The 9,764-nt window shown below is 35.9% G+C and overlaps 1 annotated feature.

Annotated features, from left to right (window-relative positions):
- Nucleotides 8,251-8,545: an enhancer, noted in NCBI's record as "tiled region #14942; HepG2 Activating non-DNase unmatched - State 9:DNaseU, and K562 Activating non-DNase unmatched - State 24:Quies". NCBI's record gives its function as "activates a minimal TATA promoter and a strong SV40 promoter by Sharpr-MPRA in HepG2 and K562 cells {active_cell/tissue: HepG2 | K562}" and the evidence as "EXISTENCE:reporter gene assay evidence [ECO:0000049][PMID:27701403]".

Below are 9,764 nucleotides of genomic sequence, written 5' to 3' on the forward strand. Positions count from 1 at the left end.
ATGCTCAGAAGGCAGTATAACCAACCATGTTTATACCAGGCTAGAAATAGAAGCAAAATTATCTGATTTCTCCCTAGACCACAGGCCCTTTTACTATAATGTGATGTCTTAGAAACTTTTGAAAATGGTCAGATAGTGGAGTATTTAGTTTCATTTTTACAAGATTGAGACAGATTCTTAAAAAATTGATATTTGAACTCTAATTTAAGTGGAGGCCTATTAAGTTATCTTTAGAACATTTTCTCCTAATAGTTATCTGGCATTAGTCAGCCTCATTAGGATCTCCTGGGGTTGATACAGCCTCAGATTTGCAGTTGACAAAATACAGATTTTTTTGTCCCTGTCCCATAACTGAATTAGTAGTTCTGGGGTTAGCATTAAAAAATGTGGATCTATAAAAAAACTTTCTAAGATTAAGGAACTTCTGACGTTTAAACAAATGTGGGAACTGCCAGCTTGCTAAAACGAAAAGGAGAGAAGAGATAATTCATGTATATTGAAAATGTGAGAAAAAATAAGAATTTTGAATGGGTTTTGTTGTAAAAGGAGACCAATGTGCAGACAAACTTGGCTTGAATGAAGAGTATAGGACTTTAATCTGGACAAGGTTAAATGCATGGATTTTAAAGTTGCTGTCAACTGGGCTCCATCTGGCCATGATTGTGCTGCTCTGAGAGTAGATTTTCTTTCCTCTCAAGGTCAGCGTCAATGTAGTCTTAAAACATCAACGGGAGTAAATTTGATTCTGCAGTAGCCTGGGGCTATTGCTTGTATTTTCTGTAGTTCTATGCCTGCATCTATTCCCAAATGCCCATTCAAATAATCATTCACATCATATATTAATAACAAAACTTGCAAGGTTAGACACAAAGTTTTCAACAAAAGTGCCCTGAGAAAAATAAATCCTAAATTTAATCTGTGAACTTTGGAATAATCAAAACTCTTTAATCAGTGGTTAATATTTACCTTGCGTTGTTTTAGGGCAAACAGTTTTGCAAAGTGGAGGGGCAGCTGAAGGAAGAATGTAATAAAAATCTTGTCAAACAAGAAAAATATTTAATAGGCCCCACGAATTATAATGCATGTTTGCACTAGTGTTAAATAGGAAAATTTAAAAAAAAATTCATTGGTGAGAGAATTTAGAAAAAAAAGATTTGAAAATATTTGAGGAATAAATGTAGAAGTAGATAACTAGAGAAATGTCAAGAATGTCACTGAATTTAGTTTTCTAACGAAGTCATATTAGATATTATTTTAGTCAGATGCTCTTCTTTTAAAACAAGGGAGGCCCAGAGAATAAACTTATTTTAGGAAATATTGATTAGTTTACTTTTCAATATGTTAAAAAGTTTAAGGTGAACAGAAAGCTAGATGGAAATTGGAATGGTTTAAAGACGTGAATGTTCAAAAGTTGACTGTTAAGAAGTGGTTATGCATAAAAGTCAGACCTGGAAAGGACAAAAGTGGTTGTTGATATTTTACATTAAATTCTGCAGTGGTTTTAAAACATTGCCCCAGAAGTCTTTTGGTATTCTCCCATTGAGAGGCCATTTTGAATTTGGGCTGACCTGTGACTGCTTTGACCAATAGATTACAGCAGAAGTGACTGCCAACACCAGCTCATTCTTTTAGGATGCTTTCTCTGAAAGATCTCTAAAAAATCATAGCCACCAGGCTGTGAGAAGCTAAAACCATATGAAGAATCTATGTTTTGGCTCTCTGGTCATCAGTAGCTGCTGAACACATCCTATAGCCTCTCAAGCCCAGGTCCAGACATATAAGTAACAAAGACATCTCAGAGGTGGATCCCCCAGCCTCAGCTCTTCTACCTCTTTCCTTTTGAGTATTTTCAGCTGTGATGTTCTTTCTAAATTCATGGAACACAGAATCCATGACCTTAATAAAAAAAATAAAAATAAAAATAAAAAACTTTAGGACTCTGTATTATATAGTAATAGTAATAGGAAAGCCTCTGTTAATCATGCCAATCATTCAGATCTTTCCAACTGAAGCCTCAGACAAATGAAACAGACAGGAGTCATAGTGCTATGTCCTGCCAAAATTCCTGATCCACAGAATCCACAAGCATTACAAAACATTTTTATTCCACTAAATTGAGCAGTAATAACTGAAGCATATAGCCTTTACAAACGTGATGAAATTCATGGATGTCTTCCCAACAGTGCACTGTTACTCAAAATATTGCTTAGATCTATTTCTCTATGGTTCTCAAATGTCTTTGTTTTTATCATACTAATAAAAATAGTTAACATTGAGTAGGTGCTTATGGGCAAATTCAAGAGCAATTTATCTGAAAAAATTGAACAGTCATTCACAATAAAATACTCTAGTTATCCTTATTTAACATATACAGTGCTAACATATACCACATGTACCAAAGCTCTATAAGGTAGGTATTATTATTATTAGTCCAATTTTACATTTAAAGAAACTGAAGCTCAAAGCAATTAGAAATATTTTCCCAAATTTATGGGATTAGCTATGGAGAAAGTACATAAATGGATAGTCCGTCTTGAAATTTATGCTGTTAACTCCAATACTAACATGTCTCTCAATTAAACCTAGAGAAGAGAGCTACCTCAACTAAGACTAAACACTTGGTTACAGATTATGTTTAGACTAAATTCAGGTTTCTTGACTTCAATTCCATGCTTTTTATTCAGTCTGCCTCAACAAATGACACTAATAATTTTTCTACTTTTCCATGTGAAATAAACAGTAATTAAGTTAATTAAGATGTGTTTTTCTAAAAATGTAAGGCTGAAAACCCTACACAAGATGTACATTGGGCATAGCAGGATACCAATCAGGGGTCATTAAATAAAAGCAAGTTAATTAAGGACATTAAACTGTTTCTAGATAGGGTGATCTGACCTAAAAAATACACAGCCTTTTCCTGCTCTATTAAATTTGAATTGTGCCCTTGTAGATCCCTGCCTTTTGGAAAAAGCCAAAAGATAACTGGAAGTAGAAAATTAGAACATCAGAGGATATTTACAATCACAGAGGAATGTCTTATTAAATGTGCCTAAATAGTTTTCATTCTGGATGTTTTAACAAGAGAGAAGTGCTTATTATGAAAGACAAGTGCTTTCCTCCTCCTGCCCCTCAGGTTGATGTTCTTTCACTGCGAAGGATGCATGGAAACTGAAAAAAAGACATACAGAAAAAAAGAGCTATGTCAGCTAAATGAATTGACTTACGTTCAGTTAATAGACAGCTGTTCATGTTAATGCCCTCTCACGCCGTCTTTCACTAGGCTACATTCAGAGAAGAGGTATATTTGCACGTTTTCTTTCCCACAGTTCCTTGGGCATGTGTTATCTCTTTTGCATCATCAGTTTATATTTGAGCTAACAGAGGCTTCCATATTAGGCAATTTATATGACAGTTGGTTTGGCCCAGTTGTTTTTCAAGTATCTTTAATATCATCTTTATTCTATTATTTGTGCTTCTGATAATTTTAACCAGGAAGATATAAACAACTTTTGAAAAAAAATGGCACAGCTCTTTTCTATTTTAATGCCCTTTGTTGTCATTCCTGTACTCAGTTTTCTTTTGTAATTAAAAAATATTTAGTACAATCAGTGATTTATTTCCACATTTAAACTTGGAAATCCTCTTCACCAATATCCTTATCAATTTCTTTCTTATTGATAACATGTTCATGCTGTAAATTGCTTTAGTATTATTAATTTCTTGCCTCCTTTCTTCTAGGAACTGTTGAGCAACTGATTTTTGATTATTTCCTGAGTTGTTCTGCAGGCTTGAAAGGATAGTTTCTTGTTGGTCAAATCACAGAAAAGTCTTATACAAGAATTATCATCGGGTCAAGTTCTCAGACTTACATTGTAATTAATTGCTTAGCCTCATTACTTCCACACTATATAATAGTTTTACTCTTTGTTCTTTCTATTAAACTGGTTTTACTTTAGAATTTTGTTTCACTGTAATGAATGCCATAAGAATATTCTTTAATTCGATCATTATTATTATTATTATTTTGAGACGGAGTCTCACACTATCGTCGGGGCCGGAGTGCAGTGGTGTGCAATCTCGGCTCACTGCAACCTCTGCCTCCTAGGTACAAGGGATTCTCCTGCCTCAGCCTCCCGAGTAGCTGGGATTACAGGCGCCTGCCACCATGCTTGGCTAATTTTTTGTATTTTTGAAGAGACGGGGTTTCACCATGTTGGCCGGGCTAGTCCCCAACTCGTGACCTCGTGATCTGCCCACCTCGGCCTCCCAAAGTGCTGGGATTACAGGCATGAGCCACCGCGCCCAGCCTCGGTGTTTATTTTTACAAACAAGATAGCTCACATTTCCCTCCAACACCATTTTAAAATAAAGCTTGTCATTTCTATTTGACCTTTTGTTATCTCTTCCTGATTTTCTGAGAATGATTTATACTAAATATTATATCTTTTATATTGTGTACATATATATGTTATTTATAATCCCATATCTGAATATCTGAATTCCAAAATACTCCAAAATCTGACTTTTTGAGCACAGCACTGACATGACACTCAAAGGAAATGCTCTTTGGAGCACTTTGGATTTTGGATTTTCAGATTAGGGATACTTTACGGTTTCAAAATCTGAAAATCTCTGAAATCTGTAACATTTCTGGTCTCCAGTGTTTTGGATTGGGAATAGTCAATCTGTAACATACATGCATATTACACTGTGTTTTCTTTAATTAAAGTAATTGCATTAATTTGTCTAAGCTAGGGATGTATCAAAAGTACATATTTCATTTTGATCCTTAAATCAATTTTGACATATTTCTTCTTATGATTAAATACACATGATTCATAGAAGAAATAAGGTCCTCCACTGGGATCTTTTTGTTTTGTAAAAGACTTTCATTATACAGCTCTGTTGGCTATTTATCCAGACCCAGCTCCTGTCATAAACCTTTATGCTTTATGTTACAGTAATAATGAATTATTTGCAATTCCTAAAATATCACAATTGCATTATATAATTCCAATTGTTGGCATTGAAGCCAAGGACTGTGATTTTTCCATAGTTATTGTCTCAGCAACTAGCAGTATGGTGGCATAAATATCTGTTGAAACAACAAACAGCTTTTCTTTCACAGTAGTTACTACATAAATATTTGCTGAAAGAAATTAATAAACAGCTTGTCTTTCCAACATTTCTTGTATTTGAAATACTTCCATCTAATCTTTCTTTATTATCTGCATGCTTTCTCCTAAGTATGAGCCATTTACTCACCAATTTGAGTTTTATTTAGCTCCACAATCTTGAAGCATTTTAGCATGGCGAGATGATTTGAATTGCCTTAATGACAGTCAGGCATATGAAACAGGTTTGCTAAATCCTACTTTTCTAGACTTTTTCGGGGACCCTAGAACAGTATTTTGAAATAGCAATTATAACAAAATTATTTCAATGTATTAATATATACATATTTTTAAATTCTGAGCAGGTGTTGATTTTTTTTTATAACAAGAAACCTTTCAGAAGTGAAAGATAACAGATTTACGATCCTTGTCAATAAAGCAAGTATTGGCAATTTCACTTAACAGTTTTAATGAAGGAATTGTAGCACCGAGTCTGTTGCAAAGTTCTTGATAAAAGTGCTACTCTTTGTGATGAAAATAATTATCACTGTAGAGTAGGCATAAAAATACCCCACAATAGTCAGACACCCAGAAATAAAAGTTAGAGAAATTTGTGGAAACATGATTGAATGTGCATAAGATGACTTAATCTAGGTCCAATTACTCTTATTTTAATATCATTTAAAATGAAATCATATTGGGCTTCAAATGGTTTTTCATATCTAGAGTCAGTGTCATAACAGCAATGACTGCCATTAGTACAGGTAGTTTATAGCTCAAATTTTTACCTTTGTATTTACCTAGTCTCACTGTTTTGCGCTGTCTCCCTTCAGTCCCTTGATTAAATGATATCCTGTACATTCCAAAAAGCTCAGTGCAATGTTGGTTTGGGGAGAACTCAATGGAGCTTATATAATGATGCATTTGGTAATCAGTTATGGCAAAATACACAGTTATTAACCAGAAATTATAATATCCTTGTTGACTTTTTTAAGCACTCCCTATTATCTTTAGCTTTATAATCGAGATTACATCTTTGGTAGCATATAGTTTATTAATACTTTCTAACATATAATAATGAAAGAGTGTGTGTGTGGGTGTGTAAGTGTGTCTATGACAGAATAGTCTTTTTGGTTTTACAAAAGCCAAACTAGATAAATTTTATTTATATCATTTCTGTATTCAATATTTATCATGAAGTACATATTAAATAATTATTTTGTAAACTTTATGGCGGCATTTAAAATGCACAGTCTTTATTGTAACAAAATAATACTTACTAGGCTTAATCTGGCAAACGTGAGCAGAAGGGATTTGCCAGTAGGAATACTAAATGCAGGGATTTACAAGGAGAATACTGCAACTTGTCCTTTGTAATTTTGCAATAATATCTGAATATCAAGGCACCTATTCTTGATCACCAAATTTTGCTTTCATTCAGCCCACAGAGGCTGTTACAAATCCTTCCCAAACACCCTTCCTTAAGCAGAGAATCCCACCCGCTTCTCCTACGCTCAACAGGCAACCTTGCTTCTTATTTAAGAAAAAAAAAAATAGAAGCCATCTGTTGGAACTTTTCTAAATTTTCTTCTTTTCTACCTCTAAAGTTGCCTAGAGGGAACAGAAGCCCCTTCTATACACTCGAGTATGCACCTTTGCATCTTTTTGGTAAAGTTGATCTTTCTGGTCTAAGTTCCTTTATTTTCAATCTCTAACCCTATAATGAATACTGCTTCCTCCCAAAGCACACACTCAAAAAAAAAAATGAAAATAAAGAAAATAAACAAAAAAGTGCTCACATTTCCATTTCCAACCACATTGTGCCAGTTTTTTAACCATCAAATTTCCCCAAAATAACTTAGCCTCCCAATTTATTTCTTCCTCATCCCTCCCTTTCTCTTTCACTATACATTTCTTGAGTCAAAATATTTATTAAATACTTAATATGCACAGGCTATTTTGCTATATGCTGGACTATAGCTGATATGGTTTGGCTGTGTCCCTACCCAAATCTCATCTTGAATTATAGTTCCCATAATCCCCATGTGTCATGGGAGGGACCCAGTGGAAGGTAATTGGATCATGGGGGCAGTTTTCCCCATGCTATTCTCATGATAGTGAGTAAGTTCTCATGAGATCTGATGGTTTTGCAAGGGGCTTTCCTGACTTCACTCAGCTCTCATTCTTCTCCTTCATGCCACCATGTGAAGAAGGATGTGTTTGCTTTCCCTTCCGCCATAATTGTACATTTCCTGAGGCCTCCCCAGCCCTGTAGAACTGTCAGTCAATTCAACCTTTTTCCTTTGTAAATTACCCAGTCTTGGGTGTTTCTTCTTAGTAGCATGGAAGGAACTAATACAGTAGCCAAAGGAAATATCCTGCTTAAAAGTCACAGTTACACAAGTCTGACCAATAATAACACAATTACAATACATTTTGATAAGTACTATGAAAACATAATTGAGAAATATATGAAAGAGAACTGCTATTCCTTTTGTTTGTTTGTTTGTTTAATTTAAGTTCTGGCATACACATGCAGAAGAACGTTCAGGTTTGTTACACCGGTATACATGTACCATGGTGGTTTGCTGCACCTATCACCCTATCATCTAGGTTTTAAGCCATGCATCCATTAGCTATTTGTCCCTCCCCTCACCCCTCATTCCTTGACAGCCTATTTCATAAGTTAGACATTCTTTAAAATTCAGCTAGAGAAAAAGAAACATATCCAACACATATTCAAGAGTTACCCATTTATCTTCTCATTGGCTTCAGTTAATAATGTCATGTCCAGGGTCAGGTTCCAGCCCATGCTGAGGTCTGAAGGGAGTGAGTGCAAGAGTGGCAGATTGCTGAAAGAACACTTGGGGGGCTGTAGGCAGGTGAAAGATGGTTTTATTCAGCAGCTTCCTTACACTGTCTGTCTCTGTCTTAGTTGCCTGCTCTTGTTCTGCAGCTCCTTCCACTCTCATGCATAGCTGCATGGCTGGCTCTCCCTTACAGGGTCAACAGCTTAACTCTTTCTCTCTCTGGGTGCGAGCAAGCTGAGCTGGGTCCTGGCTCCCCCCGTCTATCTGAAAGACAGAAAGCTCTGGCTCCCCCTCTTTTTCTCTGGATGCAAGTGTGCCTATACAGTGTCAGCAGGGCAGTTATACCTTTTACAGTCAATAGTTGCTCTGAGCCAGGTTATGAGCCTTCCCATGTTATGGCTACATAGCTGTGATTATGTAATAAGTGGAGTTACGCTCCTGCGCTCCAAACTCGCTGAGTCACACAGGATGTTTACCTTGGCCTATGCCTGCCTGGCTGCAGTGCAGGCATATTCCTTACAAATAAACATTTCCTGAGAAACACCTACATGCTGGGCACTCTATTAGGCATTAAGTATTGATAACAGAATGAAACTGGCATGGCACTCAGGTAAATGAGTATTTTGTGATGGTAATGGGATAACTATAAAGGCATAGGAGAAGTGCCTATTCCAGCCTGGGGATAGCAGATAAAGATTCTAAGGGGATCATTTTTTATTTAAGCATAGGATCCCTGCAATTAGCAGGGTGAAACCTTGAAGGGACAGAGGGTGCCTATACACAGGCTAGCATAGGGCTCTCAAGTTTTTCCATAAAACTTTACTACAGAAGATAATGTTTCATATTCTCAGGGGCTCAAAATGTTATGCATCAAGAACAAGATTTCCCCACTTTAGTTTAAAATGTATAGCAAATTGTACATATTTATGATAAGGAGCTTAGATTTTATTATCTGAATTATACAGGAAGAAAACAGGGTATTCAGATGGAAAGTGACATGACTATATTTAATATTTAGATATGTCATTTTGTCAGCCTTGTTAAGAAGAGGCTCAAGTCAGGTTGGGATTACAAATTGATGCTGGAGTTAAAAGTCTACTCACAGGTGCAGAGTGTGAATGAAGATACTGACCATAATAATGAAGAGAATGATAGAGATTTGAAATATTAAGGAAATATGATGCAATGCCTTTATTGGCTATTTGGGGGAGGAGTTTAGGACTGAAAGAGGAGTCCCTGACAACTCTCAAGTTTATAGGCTGCACTTCTGAGTGAAAGAAGGTGCTCTTTATTGAGCTGTGTAACATAAAAGGAGAAGTTTTGCAGGAAGGAAAGATTATAGTATAACCAATTAAAGAAAAATCTCTTCATTTCTGTATTGATTTTTATATTGTTGTGTAACAAATAACAACTATAGCAGCTTAAAAACAACACTTATTTATTAACTCATTGCCATAGAGGGCAGAAGTCCAGGCATGACATGACTGGGTTCTCTGCCTGGGCATCATCAGACTGAAATAAAAGTGTCCACTGGGGCTGGAGTTTCCATTTGAACTTTATGCTTTTCTTCCAGTCTCACTTGTTGTGGTAGGTTAAAAACTGACCCACCAACAGGTACTCTCATCATAATCACTGGGACCTGTGAATGTTACTTTATCAGGCCAAGTCTTTGCAGATGTGATTAAGTATCTTGTGGTTATTCTGGTGGTCCCTAACTGCAACCAAGAGGGAGGCAGAAGGATATTTGACAAATACACACACTGAAGAGAAAGCTATGTGAAGATAGAGCAGATAGAGAGTTGAAGATGCTGGCCTGGGAAATTGAACTAATGTGGCCACA

This window comes from Homo sapiens, chromosome 13 (assembly GCF_000001405.40).
Source record: "Homo sapiens chromosome 13, GRCh38.p14 Primary Assembly".
Lineage (NCBI taxonomy): Eukaryota > Metazoa > Chordata > Mammalia > Primates > Hominidae > Homo > Homo sapiens.